At 37.0% G+C, this 25,207-nt stretch overlaps 1 protein-coding gene across 4 annotated transcripts in view; it reads right to left on the bottom strand.

Moving 5' to 3' along the window:
* MAGED1 (MAGE family member D1) overlaps positions 1–25,207 on the bottom strand; it is a 99,279-nt gene that overhangs the window by 64,249 nt on the left and 9,823 nt on the right. Inside the window, exon 2 of one of the 4 annotated variants that reach the window (XM_011530835.3) lies at positions 18,698–18,754. The exons of the other annotated variants lie outside the window; for them this stretch is intronic. The gene's annotated coding sequence lies outside the window, so the exon portion shown is untranslated. The remainder of the gene's footprint in view (positions 1–18,697; positions 18,755–25,207) is intronic. 4 annotated transcript variants of the gene reach the window in all.

Here is a 25,207-nt window from a genome sequence, read left to right as displayed (position 1 = left end):
TGGGATAGCAGGAATCACGTAACTTGAATCTAGTAAGTTAAATTCCTCAAAACCAACCTGCTAAGAGGGCTACAATTTTACTCCCATCTTTTCCTATAGTGAAATATCTACTGTTTGTAACTTTTGTTGATAGTGGTTACTTGGCTGGCATAAATAATTGAAATGTGAACACTAAGTGCTAGAAATGTCTTTGTGGTCATTTAAATGAACCAACTGACAATTGCATTTAATACTCTCATATTAGTTAAGAGCAGAGAAATACAGTGCAGAAGCAGCCTGGGCTCTAGTGCCAGGTTTCTTAGACTCGAATCTCAGCTTCACCATTTATTATGTGCAACCTTAGGAAATGTATTTAACCTCACCGTCTCTCATATGTGAAGTGGGGATAATAACAGTACCTACCTCTTATGTTTGTTTTGGGCCTCTCATGCGTTAATATAGGTAAGTACTTTGAAAGATGGCATATAATAAATGTTGTTTGACAGTTAACTTAAGCACTAAACTGTTACTCAATAACTTAAGGGCTTACAGGAAATTCTTGTCAAACAGCACTTGTAAACTGATGTGAAAGAAGAGCACAAAGGCTTCATTGTAAAAAACAAATAATGACATTAGAAATGTGTTCCCCCTTTAATAATGGGAGTCAGGAATCACTGCTATCATCCCTTTCATTCATTATACTGAAGGCCCTATCCAGAGGTGTGGGAGGAAGTAAGAGGAAGAAGGAAAAGGAGAAAGCAGAAGAGAGTAAGGATTAGAAATGAATAAAGGGAATTGTTAATATTTAGAGTTGATAAGATTCCCTACATAAAAAACTTATGAGAATCTTAACACTTTTTAAACTCTCAGCTGAACTTGCACTTCTGGGCAAGATGGAATAACAGGGACCATTTACCCAACTTGTTGAAAAATTAAAAAGCAAATTATTCTCACAACAATAGATATCAGGTAGTGAGGGCCAATAATCCTTGAGAAATGGTAAAGAAACAAGGTGACCCTATAAATGCCCCAGCGTACTTCCCTGAGAGAATTTTCAGATCATGCCACAGGCAAGGGTAATAACTGAGTCAGAACCTGGCAGATCCCCTGAGGTAAGGAGACAAAGCTCAGAGTCCAGTGAGAAGAAGGCAGCTAAAATCTGCAGGTAATAGTTAGCAGAATGGGGAAACAGTGCAGAAAAAGAACTCCTGAGATCTGCAAAGGCTCCATTGAGTATTCAACAGCGTATACATTGCCAGGCGCGGTGGCTCATACTTGTAATCCCAGCACTTTGGGAGGCCGAGGCGGGCGGATCACAAGATCAGGAGTTCGAGACCATCCTGGCTAACATGGTGAAACCCCCATCTCTACTAAAAATACAAAAAAAACTAGCCGGGCGTAGGTGGTGCATGCCTGTAGTCCCAGCTACTCGGGAGGCTGAGGCAGGAGAATGGCGTAAAACCCGGGAGGCAGAGGTTGCAGTGAGCTGAGATCGTGCCACTGCACTCCAGCCTGGGAGACAGAGCGAGACTCCATCTCAAAAAAAAAAAAAACAGAGTACACATTAGTGTATACAGAGGCAACTACCCAAGGCAGGGGAAAGAACCATTTGAAATCACTAGAAAGAACAGTTTTCATCACTTACACTGAGACAGGAACAGCACCTGTTACCAACAGCCAGCAAGGAATAATTTTCCGTAGACTGAGCACCACCCTGGTTCCACCTAATCAATCTTAAAAGCAAGACATAAAAGGATCAAACTGTTTCCATGTAGTTTTATCACATTCCAGAATAAAGCTCAAGAAATTTTTAGTTATATAAAAATATCTAGCATCCAACAAGGTAAAATCCACAAGGCTTGAATGTAAACAAACATCACCAGCAATGCAAAGAAGCTTGAAATTACAAAATAAAAAAAAAAAAAAATCAATAAATTGAAACCAACCAAGAATTGATGCAGATGTTAGAGTTACCAGACAAGGACATTTAAAAAGTTATGACATAATCTATTCATTTACAAAGTTAAGTAGAGGCATGGAAAACTGTAACAAAGACGCCCAAATTAAAATTTTAGAGATGTAAATAATAATATCTGAGCTTAAAAATACGACAAATTGGATAAATGACATATTAAACTATGGAAAAGGAAAGATTAAAGAATTTGAAAAAATGGAAATAAAAATCATCCAAAATGAAACAGAAAAGAATTTTTTTGAAGTATGAAAAATATCAGTGGACTGTTGAACAATGGCAAGCAACTTAATACACAGGTAAAGTCCCCAAAGCGGATGAGAGAAGTATTAATACTTTTCACCTGGCAGATCCCCTGAGGTAAGGAGATGAAGCTCAGAGTCCCGGGAGAGGAAGGCAGCTAAAATTCTTAGCCACTGTTTCTTCAAATGTTACTATTAATTGTGGGTTTTGCCATTATTTTAGCGATAATTTTAACTTCCAAATCAAAAAATATCAACAAATTTGGTGCAAAAGAAACATGAAGGAAACTACAAGGCTCATCACAATCAATCTGATTAAGAGATTTTTTTAAAAACTCTGGAAACAATCCAGGAAAAACAAAAAGACACATTAGTAACAAAGGAACAAAGAAACTAAATTAGTAGTACAGACAATTCCCAACTTATGATGGTTCAACTTATGATCTTTCAACTTTACGATGACACAAAAGCAATATACATTCCATAAAAAATATACTTTGAGTACCAATACAACCATTCTGCTTTTCACTTTCAGCACAGTATTCAATAAATTACATGAGATATTCATGTAATTTATTATAAAAGAAGCTCCGTGTTAGATGATTTTGCCGAACTGTAGGCTAATATTAAGTGTTCTAAGCATGTTTAAGGTAGGCTAAGCTAAGCTACAATGTTTGCTAGGATAAGTGTATTAAATGCACTTTCAACTTACAGTATTTTCAACTTAAACAGCTTTATTGGGATTTAACACCATTGTAAATCAAGGAGCATCTGTATAACCTTCCCACAACGAAATTTTAAAGAGTCAGACGACTTCACAAGCAAATTCTACCAACATTTAAAAAAGAAATAATACCAGTTCTACACAAACTTTTCCAGAAAATTCAAGAATAGCAAATACTTCCTAACTCATTCTATGAGGCCAGCATGATCCTGATACGAAAACCAGACAGACATTACAAGAAAGGAAATAATTTATACAACAAAAAATAAATAGATCAAAGTCCTAAATGGGAAAAATCAACTTTAAAGGTTTTAGAACATTTAGAAGAGCATTTTTATAGTCTCCAAATCAGAGAAATATTTCTTAAAGATACAAAGATCAATCATAAATAGACTGGTAGATTTGATCAAAATTTATATCAAAATTCATCACCTCTGTACTACAAAAGAAACCATTAAGGTAAAAAGACTAACTACGGACTGAGAGCAGATATTTGCAACACTAACAAGGAATCCATATCCAGAATATAAATGTAACTTCTACAAATCAATAAGAAAAAATAAAAAGTATCCATAGAAACAGTGTTTTCAACTATAAAAAAAAGGAAACAACCTAATATCCATTAACAAAAGAACACTGAAATAATTTTTTGAATACTCCACAAGGACAGGATGGACTCCAGTTCAAAATTTGGTTTAAATGTCAACACCAATGATACCAAACAAACACACACCAATATTCATAAAAAAGCTGATTACTCACATAATGAGGCTTTCTGCAGAGAGCAGGGGTGGCTCTCAGACACATCCAAAAATGGCTTGATAGAGCAAGGACAGAAGATTGGCTTGGGTTTTTATGGTGGTTAGGGGTGGGGCTGGAATGAGGATTCTCACCTGTGGTTTGAACTTTACACTGGTGGTAAGGAATGCAGCATCTTGGCTTTCTTATCTTGCCCAGATGTGGGACAGAGGGAGAAGAGGGAGAGATAAGACTTCAAAGCTGTCAGCAGTCAAACATTAAAAAATGGAGTGAGACTTTTAATTATGATTTTATACGGGATTATAAATAGATGCATGAGTTTTACATTCATCAATGAGTCTTACAAATACCATGATGAACAATAAAAAAGCAAGTTTGTAGAAGAATGCATATATTTCTACCATATAATGTTCAAAAAAGCAAAATAATTTCATATATTTCAAGTGATATTTATATAAGTAGGAAAATCAAAAGACATGCAGAGGAATGATAAATACTGAATTGAAGATAATGGCAACATGTAGAGGGAAAGGAGTAGGATGTGATTGGGGGTTCATACAGGGGGCTTCAATTGCATTGCGATTTTCTAAATGTATTGAGTTAGGCAATAAATGCAAAAGTGTTCATTGTTTTATTATTTACACTTTTCTGCATATTTTAATATTTCGTGATTTTATAAAGTAGAAGTCAGCTTTTAACACATATACTGTCCCTAGTTAAATATCTTTAAATATCCTGACGATGGTAAAGTCTCAAATCAAATAAATCTTAAATTACTTGGTGTTCTCCAGCTTCTGACAACCATAGAGAAAAAGTAGACACTTTACTAATATGAGTAACACTAATAAATGAAATGTAATAAAACAAGTTTTATCCTATATAGATTAAGAATCTTCAAACATAATTTAGTTACAAGTATTGAATTATTCAGATAAAAGTTACAAAATGATTAGCACAAAAAGTAATGACAGATGAAACCCTGTAGTACTTAATGTAAAAAAAATTGATTCAGCAACAGCACACTTACTAAGATTTTTTAAGAAATTAAAGGTACCTCACATTTGAGAAATATAGAAAAAACTAAATGTATGTGTGTGGGGTGGGAGAGACTGGTTGACTGACTTAGGGTATCAGAGAGCAATTCCACTACCTTATTCCTGTAGAAAAAAAAAAAACTAAATAAAGTAATTTCTACCACTTTTTACCTCCTGAAATCTAACCACAATATAATGCTTTAGTTTAATAAACATTTCAAAGGATTCACATATGGGATTTGTCAACTCAAACTTTTATTCTTCTTCTACTTTCTTACTAACTTTCATGAATTAAATGTAGCCCCAAACTACCATTTATAAGAAAATTGCATTACAAAACAGTTTTCCATTTAAAAAAAGAAAATGCCATAAATGGTAGTTAGGTACTTACGTTGGACTACATAAGATTGCTTGACCTATGTTGGTGCTGAAATTTTCCAATACTATTGTAGATAAAGACCACTAATAAAACAATGTGCTTTTATGAGAAATTAATAAAAGGGGGCTAACACTGAGATGCTAAGAACCTATCTTCCAGTGCTATATCCCTGGTAGTACTGCTGATTCTCCTACCTATCTCCTTGATATCCCATTTGACTCCCAGTATGAGTAGAACTTCCTAGTAATTCCTGAAGAGTGAAGGTGGGGAGGCATGCAGAAGTAGGGCTGCAGAGGTTTTGGCAGGTGAGGAAAAGAAGAGGTAAGAAGACACATTAAGGCTCGTGAGTAGCAGGGTCAAGACCAAGTTTCCAATCTTTCTTGTCTACCTTTTCCCTTCTCTTTCCCCTCCATGGAGCCTGGATGGGAAAAAAGAAGTGGAGTCAAAAAGATAAATATCACATGTTTGCATTCATATGTGGAAGCTAAAAAAAAAACTGAACTCATGGAGAGAGTAGAATGATGGTTACCAGAGGCTAAGAGTAGCAGAGAGGGAGAGATAAAGTGGGAGTGGTTAATGGGTACAAAAATACAGTTAGATAGAATGAATAAGATCTAGTATTCAGTAGCACAATAGGGTGACTATAGTTAACAATAATTTATCGCATATTTAAAAATAACTAAAGGAGATCGAGTGCAGTGGCTCATGCCTGTAATCCCAGGACTTTGGGAGGCCAAGGTGGGCAGATCCCTTGAGCGTAGGAGTTCGAGACCAGCCTGGGCAACATGGTGAAACCCCATCCCTACTAAAAATACAAAAATTAGCCAGGTGTGGTGGTGCGCGCCTATAGTCCCAGCTACTCAGGAGGCTGAGGTGGGAGGAACCTGAGCCCGGAAGGCGGAGCTGCAGTGAACCGCCTGCGCACCACTGCACTCCAGCCTGGGTGACAGAGTGAGATCTTCTTTCAAAAAAGTAAGAATAATAAAATAAAAATAAAATAACTAACAGAGTGGAATTGGAATGTTCCTAACACAAATGATAAACACTAACTTCATCATGACACATTATATGCTTGTATCAAAACATCCCATGTATGCCATAAATATATACAACTATTATATAGCCATAATAATTAGAAATAAAAATAATTTCTTTAAAAAGGAAAAAAGTGCAGAGTGCCTGTTTAGCCTGCAAAGTGGGAGAAGATGAAAAGGAAGTTACCCATAGAGCCCAGTGAGGATGTCCATTTATCTTTTGGAAACTCTGTATTTGGAAAATTTAAAGATTCATAGTACATTGCTTCCAATGCCCAAACAACAATATTGGGAACTTACTAATTCCTGAAATTTTCTTAATCATTAAAATTATTATGTATTTATTTATTTATAATTTAATTTAATTTCTGAGGCAGCAACTGACTCTGTCGCCCAGGCTGGAGTCCAGTGGTGAGATCACAGCTCACTGCAGCCTTCACTTCCTGGGCTCAAGTGATCCTCCCACCTCAGCCTCCTGAGTAGCTAGGACCACAGGTGCACACCACCATGCCTGACTAATTCTTTTATTTTTTTGTAGAGATGGGGTCTCCCTGTGTTGCCCAGGCTGGTCTTGAACTCCTGGGCTCAGGTAATCCACCTGCCTTGGCCTCCCCAAGTGCTGGGATTATAGGCTTAAGCCACTGCCTCCAGCCTAAAATTATTTTTAAATACATTTATTGCCAATATTTTTTGCAAGAGCTATGTCAGAAAACACTGTACTTGCATCTCAGTGTAACTTTGTTAGGAACATTTTGTTACTTTTTCAAGTCAAGATTGGGAATAACAGTTGCTTGATATGTAGTTATCATATATAAAACACCAAGAAGGCCGGGTGCAGTGGCTCACGCCTGTAATCCCAGCACTTTGGAAGGCCGAGGAAGGTGGATCATGAGGTCAAGAGATCAAGACCCTGGCCAACATGGTGAAACCCTGTCTCTACTAAAAATACAAAAATTAGCTGGGCGTGGTGGCACGCGCCTGTAGTCCCGGCTACTTGGGAAGCTGAGGCAGGAGAATCTCTTGAACCAGGGAAGCAGAGGTTGTAGTGAGCTGAGATCGTGCCACTGCACTCCAGCCTGGTGACAGAGTGAGACTCTGTCTCAGTAAATAAATAAATAAATATATAAAACACAAAGGAGACAGCATATGAAACCTTATTACAAATAGCTGTATCAGTTAAGAAATACATTTTTGCCTTAGGTGACAAATACATGATAGATCAGTTGGGGAAAATGGCTGTGCTTCACTCCTCACAAGCTGGGTCCTGGTACTTTAATCATCTCTCCTTACACCTGTACTTTGAACCACTCCCTCTCCCTAGGCTCCTTCCCACCAGTAGTTAAATCTATTTGAGTTTTTACCACCTTGAAAGTAATTTCTCCTCCAGATTTCTGCATCTTTCTCCAGGTACTACCTTTTTTTTTTTTCCTCTTTCCTCATCTCCTATAAACTTTAATTGGTATTGGTGTTATTTTGGAAATATCTCAAAAATATAGAATAATATAGAATATCCACCCAGAATTAACAATTGCTAACATTTTTAAAAATGTAGTCACACTTGCTTCATCTATTTTATGAAATAAACTAAACATTCTAGATAAAGATGAAGTACTCTTTAAACCCACCCCTAGCCATTATCCTTTCCTCTCCCCAGAGGCAACCAAATTTGATATGGTGTGCATCATTTCTATTCCTTCTTTATACATACATTTTCAAACACATCTGTATCTATGAGCAATATATAGTATTTTTGTATGTTTTAAGTTTATATAAATGGTATATTATGTGATTGTTCTGTAACTCACTTTTCTCAATCAGCATTATGTTTTTAAGATGACACTGATATATATTGATGTGATTTCTTCATTTTCACTGCCATATTAAATTGCACTGTATGAATAGATGATGACTGATGAGTTATTGATCATTCCCCTATTAATTTGGAACAGTTGGGGAATTTAGTTTATTTCCAGTTTTTCACAATATCACGTAATACCGCAATGTTTTCTTCCATGTCTCCTAGAATTGGAAATGTTGCAACAGAAGGAAATGCCCATCTACAATTTTACTAGATCCTTGACAATTAATTTCATTTGAATGTGATTGTATTTCTTTCCACCCACATCAGCCATATATGAAGACTACTGTTTCCCTACAACCACGCCAATACCAGGTATTGTCAAACAATAAAATTTTTACCTGATATGTTAAAAGTGACATTTCATTATTTTGATTTTCAGTCCCTTGTCCTTGTTATTAGTGCAATTGACCACATTTCAATGTATTTATTGGACTTCTGTATTTCCTTTTTTATAAATTACCTGTTCATAACTTTGCCCATTTTTCGGATTGGATGGTTTATCATTGATTTATAGGCATTCTTTATACATTCTGTTTCAACAACCCTTCCCTTCCCTGAGATAATAAACAGTCCCCTAATTTTTTTTTTTAAAAATTAAAGTTTTGCTTTTCATAATTGGGTTTATAATCTATAAAAAATTAATGGTTTGTTTTTGGTGTTGGTATTTTATTTTATTCTATATGGATAATCAATTGTCCCATCACCATGTATTGAATGATATACTCTGCTCTATTAATTTATGTTGACACCTCTTTCATTTACTAATTTCACATATATATACATATACACACACACACACACACATACACAAACACACTGGTCTATTTCTGTATTCTCTATTCTTTTCCATTTGTCAATTCCCATATCTACTCCATATCTACCCTGAGCTCCTCGCCACATTTGACACTATTTGAATACTTATTTTTCCTTGAAACATATTCTTCCCTTTGTTTCAGTTATACTTTTGCTGTCTTCAATTTTTCTCTGACTTTTCTTTCTCTGTCTTTAGGCCTCTCTTCCTCTGCTTAATACCTAACTGTATCCCCAAAAGTTCATCCTCAACTCTCCTTCCTTCTCTTTCTACATATTCTCTTTGGACATGTGCTGCCCAATGCAATAGCCACAAACCGCATTGGGTTACTGATAACGTGAAATGCAATAGTTCAAAGTGAGATGTGATACAAGTAGAAAAAATCCATATGATATTTAGAAGAGTTTTTTTTTTAATGTGGAATAGCTCTTAAGTATTTTTATACAGACTACATGTTAAAATGTTATTTTTGTTGTTTGGGTTTAATAAAATACTTTATTAAAATTAATTTCACCTGTTTTCTTTTTACTGTTTTTGGCAACATATCCACAAGAAAAATTTAAAAATACATATGTGAGCACCTCTAATTGTAGCTCCAAATTGTAAAGAACTGGGAAGATGTCACTCCTGCCCTTACAAGACCGAAAAGCTAGACAAAATGAAAATCAATAACTTTTTAAAAATCATCAGAGAACTGAGGCCACATGGGAAATCACCACTTGAACATTTGGAGAGACAGGAAGATCTAGCACTTATGATTTGTTTACATGGTAGAGAAACTGCTGGATACCATAAGCTGACATGTCCTGCAAGAAATGTCAAAAGAAGTTCTCCAGGCACAAAAAAAAAACAACATGTCAGAAACTTGAATCTTCATAAAGAAAGTCAGAGAAAAATAAATATAAGTAATATAAAACTTTTTATTTTTCTTAATCAATCTAGGAGGTAACTGTGTATAAAGTAAAAACACTACAATGTATGAAATGACTGTAGCATATAAGTAAGTGAAAGGGATGACAGCAATGTCAAAAAGAAAGCAAGGGAGAAACGGGGGATAACTCTTATAAGGTACCTACACTACACAGGAAGCAATACAATAGTATTTGAAAGACTTAGATTAAAAATGTGTACTGTGAAAACTAGGGTAACCACTAAAAAGTTAAGAAAAACAAGTATAAATGATATGCAAAGAGAGAGATAAAATGCTCAATTAAAGCCATATAAACACAATTCCAATCAAAATTTTAGCAAGCATTTTGTAGACATAGCTAAACTGAATCTAAAAAATATACATGAAAAGGCAAATGACCTAACAGCTATCACAACTCTGAAAAAGGAAAACCAAGTTAGAGGACTCATGTTATCCGATTTCAAGTCGCAGTGTAAGTCTATAGTAATCAAGGTGCCATAGTATTAGCAAAAGAAATGACACATAGATCAACAGAACAGAATAGGGAGGCCATAAATAGATCCACACAAATACAATCACAGATTTTTTTTGATACCGCAAAACCATTTATTATTGCCTGAGGATTGGGGCAAGGTGTGGGAGAGAGAAGCATTTCTTTTTTTCAGTTGACTTTTAAAAAATTGACTTTAGTTTTTAGATAAGCTTTAGGTTCACATAAAAACTGAGTCCAAGGTAGAGATTCCTCACATACTCTCTGCTCCCGTATATGCACAACCACCCTCACTATGAAAATCTCCCACCAGAAGGGTATGTATATTTGTTATAATTGATGGACCTATATTGACATATCGTTCTCACCTAAAGTTCATAGTTTACATTGGGGTTTACTCTCAGTGTTGTACATTCTATAGGTTTTCACAAATGTATAAACACATGTATCCACTATTATAGTACCATACAGAGTAGATTCACTGCCCTAAAAATCCCATGTGCTCCGTCTATTCATCCATTCCCAACCCCCAAACCCTGGAAGCCACTGATCTTTTTACTGTCTCCATAGTTTTGCCTTTTCCAGAATGTCAAATACTTGGAATCATACAGTATGTAGCCTTTTCTTTCTTTTTTTTTTCTTTGTTTTTTTGAGACAGGGACTCGCTCTGTTGTCCAGGCTGGGGTGCTGTGCAATCTCAGCTCACTGCAACCTCTGCCTCCCAGGCTAAAGCCATCCTCCCACCTCAGCCTCTGAGTAGCTGGGATATGCAGCCTTTTCAGACTGGCTTATTTTAAAACTCAGTAATATGCACATATGATTCCACCATATCTTTTCATGGCTTGAAAAGGCTTTTCATAGCCCTTTTTTGGCACTAAACTCCATCGTCTGGACGCACTACAATTTATCCATTCACCTACTAAAGGACATCTTGATTGTTTCTACATTTTGGCAATTAGGAATAAAGCTACTATAAACATTTATGTGCAGAGTTTTGTGTAGACATAAGTTTTCAACCCATTTGAGTAAATATCAAGGAACGCAATCGCTGGATCATATGGTAAGACTACATTTAGTTTTGTAAGAAACTGTCAAACTGTTTTCCAAAGTGGCTATACCATTTTGTATTCCCACCAGGAAAGAATGAGAGCTCCTGTCGCTTCATCTTTCCACCAGTATGTGATGTTCTTAGTGTTTTGGATTTGGAACATTCTAATAAATGTGTAGTGGTATCTTTTTTAACTTACAATTTCCTAATAACATATGCTGTTGAGCATCTTTGCACATGCTTATATATTATCTGTATATTTTCTTTGGTGAGGTGTCTTTGTTCAGGTCTTTTGCCTATTTTTTAATCAGTTTATTTCATTTAGTCAACTGATTTTTTTTTACATAAGCATAAAGGTAATTCAATGGAGAAGGACAATCTTTGCCAAAAAAAATGGTGCTGAAACAACTGGAATCCATGTGCAAAATAAAATTATGACACAAACCTCACACTTCACATGAAAATTAATTCAAAATGGATCACGAATCTAAATATAAAACAGAAAATTATAAAACTTCTAGAAGAAAACAGAAAACTTGCATGACCTTAGGCTTTAGCAATGAGGTTTTAGATACAACACCAAACTTATGGGAATTCTGGAATGGCTATGTGAGGAGCTCAGTGAAATCTCCTCCCCAAAGAGACATCTAATAAAACTGGTCAAAACAAGCAAAGCCAATCACCTAAAGTCTCTGGGGATTGATCAACGGCAACAAAATCTACAGAACTAAGTAAGAACAAGGAGAGTCTGCGGCATTTCAGCCAGGGGCTGCTCATTTCTCCCTACATTTCTGTGCTGTCAAAGAACTACATTAGCTGGCTCAGCTGTTTAGCAGTGGCATCAACTCCCAAAGCTTCAGTTCTAAAGAACTGTCATTATTTGTCCTGTCTGTTGGTTCCCCAGAAGACGCTACTTAAAAGGTTTATGTTTGATTCAGTGCAAAACCCATACTAAAAGCCCCTCCACAAATGATAACACTTGGAGCAAACAATAAACTAAATAAAAAGAATGAAAGGAAAAGCTGAGGAATAAGCTATCAATAGGGGATTTGAAGAGTTCTGATATTTTCTAGGGAATATAGAAGACCATCTGCATGTATAGGGCTGTGTGCATGCTCAGGAAACACCTGAGAAGGCCATAAACTCTCACTTCTAACTGACTTTTCGGCTCTTTGCAATCAGGAAGTGAAGGCTAATGTACGGTTGTAAACTGCCTGGCTAAGTGTTGCATGCCCCAAGATGTATACAGATCCCTTTGTTAAAGATGATGCAATTTATTGGTCCCAGGCATTTAAGGAAATCTTTATCCAATGATGGCTAAGCTACTGAGTAGATACTTTAGTGGTTACACATACAATAAATACACTTTGTTCTTTGCTTCTTCAGCCCTTCTCCTCTACGAAGTCAACCTCTTCTGCTCTCAGCTCATTTGAACAAGTATTCTATTTTGTGGAATAGTGTTGCCTGATTCTAGAATCACAAATACGGCCAAGTGAGATCTTTAAACTAAATTTGTTGTAATTTTGTCTTTTGACACATTGTTGCCCTTTAGAGCTCTCTCTGACCCAGAGACTCCCCACTGTGCTGCTGAGTAGCCATCACCTAAACATGTAAGTCAAGTCCCCTCTACAATCTCCCTCTCTGGAAATTCCATGGCCTCTTCCCCTTCAGAGTAGCAACTCCCAAGCCATGGCCTCTGGACAGGCTCCTACTGTGAGAGACTTCCCCAACATGCAAGCCTGTCAACACATCTCCCAATAAAGCTTGTGTGTGATACTGCCACCTCATAGACATATGTCTTTCTTTGATAAGCCCCTAAATCCTTCAAGCCCCCTACAAATATAAAGTAACAGATACGAAAAATTCATTAGAGGGGCTCAAGAGCAGATTTACACTGATAGAAAAAAATAGTCAGCAAGATAGTCCAATTCAGATCATCCAGTCTGAGGAACAGAAATTTTACACACACACACACACACACACACACACACACACACACAGGTTTCTGAGACTGTGTGTGTCTGTGCATATATATATATGTATATATACATATATGTACGTATATATACGTATATATATGTGTATATATACATACGTGTATATATGTATGTGTATATATATATATACAGACACACACACACACACACACACACACACAGAGACAATATAAACACAGCCTCAGAAACTTGTAAGAAATCATCTAGCAACCAAAATACATATAATGGGAATCAGAGAAGAAAATAGAAAAGAGGAAGAAGATATTTGAACAAATTACAGCTGAAAGCATCACAAATTTGATGAAAAAATGTTTACATACACATTCTAAAAAGCAAACAAACACCAAGTAGGAAAAATGAGAAGTATATACACATAGGCACATCATAATAAAAATACTGAAAGCCAAAAACAAGGAGAAAATCCCAAAGAGCAATAAGAGAAAAACAACTCTTCACAAACAAGAAAACAGAAGTTTAACAGTTGACTTCTCCTCAGAAGTCATGGCCAAAAAGCAGTGGGAAGACATATTCAAGTTACAGAAAGAAAAAAAACTGCAATCAAGAATTCTATATCTAATAAAGGAAGTAAAACTATCCTTCAAAAGTGAAGGAGAAAATGGGACATTATCAGATAAACAAAACTGAAAGAGATATCAAGTAGCTGGCAGATGCCCTATGAGCAATACTAAAGGAAGTCCTTCAGTCTGAAAGGAAAGGACACTAGATAGTAACGTGAAATCATAAGATGAAATAAAGTACACTGGTAAAGGTAACTACATAGGTAAATATTAAAAACAGTATAAATATAGTTGTTGCTTTTTTAAAATTTGCAATTCCTATGTTTTCCAGTCTGACTTAAAACATGACTACCACAATAATTATAAATCTACGTTGATGGACACACAGTGCAAAAAGACGTAATTTGTGACACTAACAACATAAAGAAGGTTACAGTGCTATTAAAGAAGCAAAGCTTTTGTATTCTAGGACAGTAAGTTCATATAAATCTGAACTAGATTCTCATCAATTGAGATGTTAATGGTAATCTCCAAAGAATGAACTAAAAAAAAAATACCAAAATATATAGCAAAGAAACAACAAGGGAATTGAAATGGCACAGTGGAAAATATTTAAGACAAATGAAAGCAGTAATGTAAGAATAGAAAAACAAAAGTGACATAAGACATAAGGAGGACAGATAACAAAACACACATGTAAATTCTACCTGAAGAGTAACTGCACTAAATGTGAATGGATTGAACTCTCCAATAAAGAGAGAGACTAGTTAAATCGACAAAAAAAGTTATGGCCCAACTATACATTATCTTCAAGAGAATGATTTTAGATTCAAAGGCACAAATAAGTTTAACGTAAAAGAATGGAAAAAGAGATACCATATAAACATTACCCAAAAAAGAGTAGGAGTGGTTATACTAATAGCAGACAAAATAGACTTTAAAACAAATATTGGTAAAACAGACAAAGAATAACATTTTGCAATCTTTAAGCTGCCAATCCATCACAAAAATATAACTATGATAAACTTACATTCATCTACCAACAGATTCCAAAAACTGACAGAACTGAAGAGAGAAATGAACAATTCAATAACATATTCTGGCTGCCTCAATATCCCACTTTCAATAACAGATAAAAACAATCAGACAGGAGATCAACAAGGAAAAAGAAGACTGCACCTAATAGACACTATAGAACACTTAACCCAGTAACAGATGAATACACATTCTTCTCAAATGCATATTAAATATTCTCATCGAAGATAGACCATATGTTAGATCATAAAACAAGTCTCCATAAAACGGACTGAAATAATAAAAAGTATCTTCACCAACCACAATGGAATTAAATTAGAAATCAGTAACAGAAAGATATTTTGTAAAGTAATTCAAAAGTAGAAATTAAACAACACACCTCTAAATAAGCCAAAGGTCAAATAAGAATCTACACAGGAAATGAGAGAGTTCTTTGAAATTAATGAAAACTTAAACACAACCTACCAAAACATATGAGATGCAGTGAAAGCAGTATTTTTTATTGATGAAAATTTATAGTTGTAATAACTATATTACAATATCCCTTATGAATATAAACACAATAATCCTCAACAAAATACTAGCAAACCAAATTCAGACACGTATAAAAAGAACTCCACACCATGACTGAGATCTATTCTAGAAATAAAAAGCTGGATAAATATATGAAAAACAAGAAAGATCTAAAACAATGACCCTAGCTTTTCATCTTAATTAACTATAAAAAGAAAACTAAACTCAAAGCAAACAGAAGGAAGGAAATAATACAAAGACCAAGGAGTAAATAAATGACATAGAGAATCGAAAAATAATAGAGAGCCATCAATGAAAATAAAAGTTGGTACTTCCAAAAGATCAACAAAATTGACAAACCCTTAACCAGAATGACAAGAAAAAGGATAGAAGACTCAAATTACTAGAATAAGAAATGAAAGAGGGAATATTACTTCCAATCTTATAAAAAAATGCTATAAATAAGTGTATGGCAAAAAATCAGATTAACTTAAATAAAACAAACTCCTAGAAAAACAAAAACTACTGAATCTGACTTAGGAAGAAATAGATAAGATAAAGAAACCTATAACAAGTGAAGACATTGAATTAGTAATCAAAACACTACCCACAAATAAAAGCCAAGGCCAAGACGGCTTCACTGCTAAATTCTACACAAACTCCTTAAAAGGAGGGAAGACGAGGGAACACTTCCTAACTTATTCTGTGAGGCCAGTATTGTTCTGATAGCAAAACCAGACAGAGGCATTACAAGAAAAGAAACCTACAGACCAATATCCCTTATGAATATAAGCACAATAATCCTCAACAAAATACAAGCAAACCAAATTCTGACACGTATTAAAAAGAACTCCACACCATGACTGAGATCTATTCCAGAAATAAAAAGCTGGATAAATATATGAAAAGCAGTGTAATACACTATACTAACAGCATAAAAAATGAAAACCACATGACCATCTCAATGGATATAGAAAAAGCCTTTGATTAAGCCCGATAACTTTTCATAAAAAAAACCCTTAAACTAGGAACAGAAGGAAATTTCTTCAACCTGATAATGGCATCTAGGAAAAAGTCACAGAAACACCATACTTAATAATTAAAGATCAGGCCCAGGCACAGTGGCTCACGCCTGTAATCCTAGCACTTTGGGAGGCCAAGGCGGGCAGGTTGCTTGAGTCCAGGTGTTTGAGACCAGCCTGGGCAACATGGCGAAACCCAGTCTCTACAAAAAATACAAAAACTATCCGGCAAGGTGGCATGTGCCTGTAGTCTCAGCTACTTGGGGGGCTGAGGCAGGAGGATCACTTGAACCCGGGAGGTCGAGGCTGCAGTGAGCAGAGATTGCACCACTGTACTCCAGCCTGGGTGACAGAGGGAGACCCTGTCTCTAATAATAATAATAATATCAATAAATAATTAATGATCAAAAGCTTTCCCTCTAAAATCACGAAAAAGACAAGGATGTCTACTCTCTCCACTTCAACAATGTACTGAAGATTCTAACAAGGGCAATTTTAAAAGAAAACACAATGAAAGGCACTTAAGTTATAAAGGAAGAAGTACAACTATCTCTATTTGTGGATGTCATGATCTCGAATGTAAAAATTCTAAGGAATCCACTAAAAACTACTAGAACTTATAAATGAGTTCAGCACAGCTGCAGGTTACAAGATCATAAACAAAAATCAATTGTAGTTCTACCTTGCAATGAAAAATCCAAAAATAAAATTAAGAAAACAAGTCTAAGCGAAATAAGCCAGGCACAAAAAGACAAACAGCACATGATCTCACTCATTTGTGGAATCTTAAAAAAGCTGATCTCATAGAAGTACAGATTAGAATAGTGGTTACCAGAGGCTGAGGAGAGTAGAGGGAAAAAGTGGGGTGGAAGAGAGGCAGAAAGACTAGTTAAAGGGTACAAAATTACAGTTAAATAGGAGCAACAAGTTCTGTTGTTCTATTGAACAGTAGAATGACTATAATTAACAATATTGCGTTATACATTTCAAAATAACTAGTTGAAGGATTTTGAGTGTTCTTACCACAAGGAAATGATAAATGTTTGAGGTGATAATATGCTAAATACCCTGATTTGATCACTGCACAATGTATACATCTATTGAAACATCACACTGTACCCCATAAATAAATAGAATTATTGTGTATCAATTAAACATAAAATAAAACTTAAAAAAGAAAACAAGTCCATTTACAGTAGCATAAAAGAAAAATTCAACACTTAGGAATAAATTTAGCCAAGGAGGTGAAAGACTTGTCAACAATACTGGGTATGGGGACCTTAATGTGTGGGACCACAACTTGTACACTGAAAACTACAAAATATTGCTGAAAGAAATTTAAGACCTTTAAAAATGGGAAAACACTTGGTTTCATTAATTGTAAGATTTAATATTGTTAAGATGGCAATACTCTCCAAACTGATCTATAGATTCACTGAAATTCCTATTGAAATTCTAAATACCTTCTGTGCAGAAACAGACAAGCTGACCCTAAAATTAATACTAAAATGGAAGTAACTCAAAATGGTCAAAACACCTTTTGAAAACGTGGAACAAAGTTGGAGGAGTCATACTTCCCAATATCAAAACTTACTACAAGGCTTCAGTTACTAAGATTCTAAGGTACTAGAATAATTGTAGACATATAGACTGATGAACAGAATTGAGAGTGTAGATATAAACCCTTATATTTATGGTGAATTGACTTTTGACAAGAGTGCCAAGTATAGTCTCTCAAACAATGGTGCCAGGACAACTGGATATCTATATGCAAATGAAACTGGACCCCTATCTCACACCACATACAAAAATAAACTCAAAAGAGATCAAAGATTTACATGTAGAAGCTAAAATTATAAAACTCACAGAAGAAAGCATAGGTGTAAATCACTGTGAACTTGATTAGGTAACAATTTTTATATAAGACACAAAAACACAAGCTATAAAAGAAAAATTAGACAGCTTGGACTTCACTAAAATGAAAAACTTTTGTACTCAAAAGACACTATCAAGAAAGTGAAAAGACAACCCATAAAATGGAAGACAACAATTGAAAATCATGTATCTGTTAGGGACCTAATACCCACAATACATAAAAAGTCATATGACTAAACAATTAAAAATATAAATAATGTAATTTAAAAAGAAGGGACTTGAATAGATATTTCTCTAAAGAAGATATACAAATAGCCGATAAGGACATGGAAATACGTTCAACATCATTAGTCATTAGGGAAATGCAAATAAGAACCTCAATCAGGTACTACTTGACACTGTGAAGAGGAAGAAGGGACCCCCATCCCAAACTTAGGTTAGACGTTGAGACTGGTTACACACACCAAGATGGTACAAGAAAGTTTAATACTTACCTAAATGAAGATTTTCTTGGTGGAGAAGGTCAGGCTTCCCAAGCAGGTAAGAAACGGCTTGACAGAACAAGGAAAGGAGACAAGCTTGGGTTTTCGTTGTGGTTAGGGCCCAGTGTAAGGCTTCCTATACACATGAAGGAGCTTCCATGGTTTGAATCTTTTCCTGACCCCCAAGGAGGGAGCAACCAGAGCTTCTTATCAATTTGTCCCGATGTGGGGCAGAGGGGAAGAAGGTGAAGCTTAAAAAAAAAGTCAGCAAACTTGAAAAAATAGAGTCAGAATCTTACAATTCACCCCTGATGTTTGTCTAATGACTGAAATGTGCCATGTTCATTTAATCAAATATACATTTGTTTAATGAAGCCAGTATGGTGCTCTGTAAGTCCTTCAGAATGAAGTCTGTAAAGAAAGTAAATGTTTTGTTGTATTCCTTCATTAAGCCCAGGACTGTATATTCTAAGAAATGAAATGAGTGCCTTCATCACTATCAATGATGCCTCAAATTCTGAAGGAAAATAAGGAGTCTCTTGGTGAGACCTTATGTTTGACCTTCACTATGTGAAGATAAATGTGTTAACTTGATTTACATTTTGGGTATCTGTGAGGTTAGAGATTCTCAGAGTTCTTTCCCCAAATGGGGCAACTCTTAGGCAGTGGCTCAAGAACCTGTAAAAATGTGCAGATGGGGCCAATTGTTGGCTAGGGCATACAGTGCTAAGGTGAATGCCTGAAGTTTGGCCAACTGTACTGACACCTGTGTTCCTGTCCTTATCAGAAGCATCATGGTTAAAGGATGAAACGCATAAGCTCTCCAGCAAACTCCATTGTATACAATGCTTGTGGTATCATCCATAAATTGTACAAACCATTGTTTTTCACTCCATTTGATCTCAAGGGGCTCTGCAGGTAGCCACAGGGTCTGGGAGAGGGGTGATGGGTCCCCCAACACCATGGTATTTAGCAAGGAACTAAAGACGGGAGGCTACCCCTTCCTCCAAGTGGTATATGACAGAAGACCCAGGTTTTTCTCCATCTTGTAGCAAAGAGGCCTCAGTAGCCATGCCCAGCTTGTAGTGCCATGGCTTCCATGACCGAAGGCACAATAGGCAGCTGGATATGGAGGGTCACAGGCTGAGGGATTGTGATAGCCTCTATTTCTAAGACAGTCCACTATGCAGCTAGCAATTGTCACTCTAATGGTGTATAAAACAGGTCCAAGGATGACAGTCTCTTGCCTCAGAAACCCTTGGCAACTTATGGCAATGATGGATGTTCCAGAGGGAGAAATGAGGAAGTTGCTAAAACCTCTATGGTGAAGCGCATCTGGGGTCACTAACGATATTGTCGTTAGTGACTAATTGTCATTAGTGTCATATTGCAATTTTGACAGATTCTAGAACCTCTTGTTGGAGGGGACCCCCATTCAAGATGAACTGATTTGTAAGAAATAGCGTAAATGGGCTTCAATAAAATTTATAAAAGAGGAATGTTTTGTCTCCAGAACACAAATGAACCTAAAAGAAGTTGTGGGTGCTGACAGGGTCAATAGCTGCTTTTCTGACAGTGTCAGAGACAGAATGGTCTTCAGTTTAGCAAATAATGTGTAGGTATTGAAAAGTGGTAGGGCCTTGCACTACGTGTGGCACAACAGCCATACCATTTTATGAGCAATTTTGTGAGTATCTGTATTTCCTGAATGAGTGTGTCAAATAAATCTCCTCAGGGAAGGATGTCATCAATGTAACATCACACCTGTACATCTAGAAAAAGCTCGGTACAGTTAAGATCTTGCCAGCAAAGATAGTGTACAATGGCAAAACTGTGGAGGTATCCCATGAGTAGCCAGGTACATGTTTATTGTGTCCCTTCAGAGGTGAAGGCAAACTGAGGCTGAAAGGCTGTTGAAATAGGCAGTGAATAGAACACATTAGCCAAATCTATAATAGCAAAATATTTACCAGTCACAGACCGGATGGAGTCAGTAATGTCAACAATATTGGGTATGGGGACCTTAATGTGTGGGACCACAACATTAGCGTTATGGTAATCCACCATTAGGTGCCATTCATTTGAAGTTTAAGAACAAGCCAAATTGGGTTGTTAATGGAGAAGACATGGGGATAATCACCCTTTCACCAAATAGGCCTTGTATCATGGGTTTCCATATTTGTAGACTTATTCTAATTTACAGTGGGCTGTATTAACCTATTTTAACTGGGGGTATAGTCCTTGGGATCTCACATTGTCAAACGGATTCACATGTGCCAAATACTTAATTTTATCACTCATTGGATCAGAGTGCTCATACCCACTATGGGATATTTTAAGGCAATGAATGGTACAAATGTGAGGAATTCAGGCAAGGCAATAGTTCTGATAGTTAATGTGAGGTATACTTGTTTATCTCTTTCCTGTTCAGGAACTCCCCTTAGATTACAGGAGGCACCTTGATTAAATATAGTGGGATCCTGACATAATAACCAATTTGAGCCCCAGTAGTAATTAAGGTCATGAAGTTTTGCCACCCACTGCATTTCAACACCAATCAGCACCCTTTTATCTTTTTGCTCTTTTAGTAAAATTTTTCCATAAATTCTGGATTCTAATTGGGTCAAATTGTGGATCTCCGTTTCTGTTTGTTTCCTCTGCCTCTCATATCTGTTTTTTTTTTTTCTTTCTTTTACAATCGTGTCACTTAGCAATGGAGATACATTCTGAGAAATGCCATGTGTCATTAGGTGATTTCATCACTGTTGTGCGAATATCACAGAGTGTACTTACACAAACCTAGATGGTATACACTACTACACACCTGTGTTATATGGTATGGACTATTGCTCCTAGACTACACACCAGTACAGCAGGTTACTGTACTGAATACTGTAGGCAATTTTAACACAATTTGTGTATCTGTGTATTTTTGTATCTGTGTATCTAAACCTACCTAAACATAGAAAAGGTACAGTAAAAATATGGTATAAAAGACAAAAATATGGCCAGGCGCGGTGGCTCACGCTTGTAATCCCAGCACTTTGGGAGGCACAGGCAGGCAGATCACTTGAGGCCAAGAGTTCGAGACCAGCCTGGCCAACATGGTGAAACCCCATCTCTATTAAAAATACAAAAATTAGCCGGGCATGGTAGCAGGCATCTGTAATCCCAGCTACTCGGGAGGGCGAGGCAGGAGAAATCACTTGAACCTGGGAGGAGGAGGTTACAGTGAGCAGAGATCGCACCATTGCATTCCAGCCTGGGCTACAAGAGTCAAACTCCATCTCAAAAAAAAAAAAAGACAAAATATGGTACACTTGTACTGGGCACTTACCATGAATAAAGCTTGCAGGACTGGAAGTTGTTCTGGGTGGGTCAGTGAATGAGTGGTGAGTGAATGTGAAGGCCTAGGACATTACTGTACACTAATGTGCACTTTAGTACACTTAGGCTACACTAAAATCATTTTTTAAACATTTCTTTCAATAATAAATTAAGCTTAGCTTTCTATAACTTTTTACTTATAAACTTTTTAAAATTTTGTAAAGCTTTTTGACTCTTTTGTAATGATGTTTAGCTTTTAAAACACAAACACATGGCCGGGCACAGTGGCTCACATCTGTAATCCCAGCACTTTGGGAAGCCGAGATGCGCGGATCACCTGAGGTCAGGAATTCGACACCAGCCTGACCAACATGGAGAAACCCCGTCTCTACTAAAAATACAAAATTAGCCGGGCATGGTGGCACACGCCTAAAATCCCAGAACTCCGGAGGCTGAGGCAGGAGAATCGCTTGAACCCGGGAGGCGGAGGTTACAGTGAGCCGAGATTGCACCGTTGCACTCCAACCTGGGCAACAAAAGCAAAACTCCATCTTAAAAAAAAAAAAAAATTATACAGCTATACAGAAATACTTTCTTTATATTATTATTCTATAAGCTTATTTGTTTAAAATTTTTTATTTCTTAAACTTTTTTCTTAAAAACTAAGATACACACAAATTAGCCTAACCCTACACAGTCAGGATCACCAATATCACTGTCTTCCACCTCCACATCTTGTCCCACCGGAAGTTCTTCAGGGGCAATAACACACATGGAGCTGTCATCTCCTATAACAATGCCTTCTCCTGGAATACCTCCTGAAGGACCTGTCTGTGGCTCTTTTATAGTTAACTTTTTTTTTAATAGGTAGAAAGACTACATTTTAAAATACTGATAAAAATTATGGTATAGTAAATACATAAACATGGTTGTTTTTCATCTTTTTTTTTTGAGACAGGGTCTCACTCTGTCACCCAGGCTGGAGTGCAGTGGCACAATCTTGGGTCACTGCAAGCTCTGCCCCCCAGGTTCAAGCGATTCTCATGCCTCAGCCTCCAGAGTACCTGGGACCACAGGCGTGCGTCACCACGCCCAGCTAATTTCTTTTTTTTTTTTTTTTTTTTTTTAAGAGAGAGGTTTTCACCCTGTTGGCCAGACTGGTCTCAAACTCCTGACTTCAAGTGATCTGCCTGCCTCGGCCTCCCAAAGTGCTGGGATTACAGGCGTGAGCCACCACACCTAGCTGTTTTTTTATCATTATCAAGTATTATGTACCATATATAATGGTACTTGTTCTAGTTTTATATGACTGGTACTACAGGCTTCTTTACACCAACATCACCATAAATACGTGAGTAACGCATTGCACTACAATGTTACAACAGCTATGACATCACTAGATGACAGGAATTTTTCGGCTCCATTATAGTCTTATGAGACCACCGTCCTCATATGTGATCTGTCATTGACCAAAACATCATAATGCTGTACATGACTGTACTTGTTTTTTTGTTGCTGTTGTTACTGGATATATTTCTGCGGGGTCCCTAACCTGCTCATATTTATAAATGTCTTCCTGCAGAAAGTCTCAAATCAGCACTGTCACTGTAAGGGGCCTCCCCAAAGGCAATGGTGGTCATATAAGATTAAAGGACTAGGAGCTTTATGGGTTTGAATTACCCCTTTCTCCATGCTACAGGGGTGCCACTAATGTTTTTCCCTATAATCCTGAAGATCAGGATCTTTGTTGCAACAGAAGCACAGGTGGTGGTGGCGGCAGTGGCAGCGGCAGCGGCGGCGGCGGTAGCAGCAGCGGCAGCGGCAGCAGCAGCAGCAACAGCCATAACAACGGAGGTATTTAAGGGTTCTAGTGAGTCATTTGTGCTTCGAAGTCCAGACCCCAGCAAGCCACATAATAGCTGTTTCTTTTCTCTTTTCTCTCTCTTTTTTTCACTCCCTGATGACTGCTCTCAAGAGCGACCACCCAATGGGCAGTCAGCTGTCAGGGTCAGAGCCTAATTGAGACACAAAACCAGCTAGTCATAGACATGGTTTTCCTCCTGAGCCTAGCATCAGTCACAGCTTTACGTTAAGACACACAAATAGGTCTGGGCTGAGACACATGATCCAGGGCTACTTTAAGGATCCCATACTACTGTTCCTCAATGTCCATTAAATTACCTAAACTTCCAAGTTAGCTAAATCTGTAAGAGAGGTTCTACAGGAGTCAACAATACAACACAGCACAGTACAACTAAAAAACTAGCTACCCTTGCAGGCTCAATGTTTATGCTTGCCATCAGAACCAATTAGTGAGCCAAAGCAATTAAGGAAAGATACTCCCTTCCCCCCATGATGGCTGTCATTATCTGAGCACCAAGCTCACTGTGCCAATTGTTCTTGCCATCCTGCAGAAGAAGGAGGGACCCCACCCAAATTTTGATTCCAGTGTTCAGATTGATAACACCTCACACACAAAGAGGGTATGAAAATGTTTACTACTTACTTACATAAACAATGCATTTCTGGGGACAGCAAGGCAAGTCTCCTAAGCAGGTTAGAAAAAGCAAGGAAAGGAAACTAAATTGAGTTTTTACTGTGGTTAAAGGATGAGGCAGGAGTGAGGGTTCTTACATTCAGGAAGACACTTGCATGGTTTGAATCTCTTGCTAGCTCCAAAGGATGAAGCACTCATGCTTTCTAATTAACTTGCCCAGTTGTGGAGCAGAAAATGAAGAGGGAGAGGTGAGGCTTAAAAGATGTCAGCAGTTAGCAGAACATGGTGGCTCACACCTGTAATCCCAGCACTTTGGGAGGCAGAGGCGGGTGGGTCACCTGAGGTCGGAAGTTCGAGACCAGCCTGACCAACATGGAGAAACCCCGTCTCTATTAAAAATACAAAATTAGCCAGGCATGGTGGCACATGCCTGTAATCCCAGCTACTCAGGAGGCTAAGGCAGGAGAATCGGTTAAACCCGGGAGGTGGAGGCTGTGGTGAGCTGAGATGGCACCATTGCACTCCAGCCTGGGCAACAAGAGTGAAAGTCTGCCTCAAAAAAAAAAAAAAAAAAAGATGTCAGCGGTTAAATATTATATTTTAAAAATTAAGTGAGATTCTTTATTATATATACTCACTAAGATGGTTGTAATTTAAAAAAAAAAAAAAAGGAAAACAACAAGTGTTAGCAAGGATGT

This window comes from Homo sapiens, chromosome X (assembly GCF_000001405.40).
Source record: "Homo sapiens chromosome X, GRCh38.p14 Primary Assembly".
Classification (NCBI taxonomy): domain Eukaryota; kingdom Metazoa; phylum Chordata; class Mammalia; order Primates; family Hominidae; genus Homo; species Homo sapiens.
This window is presented reverse-complemented; position numbering and strand designations above follow the sequence as displayed.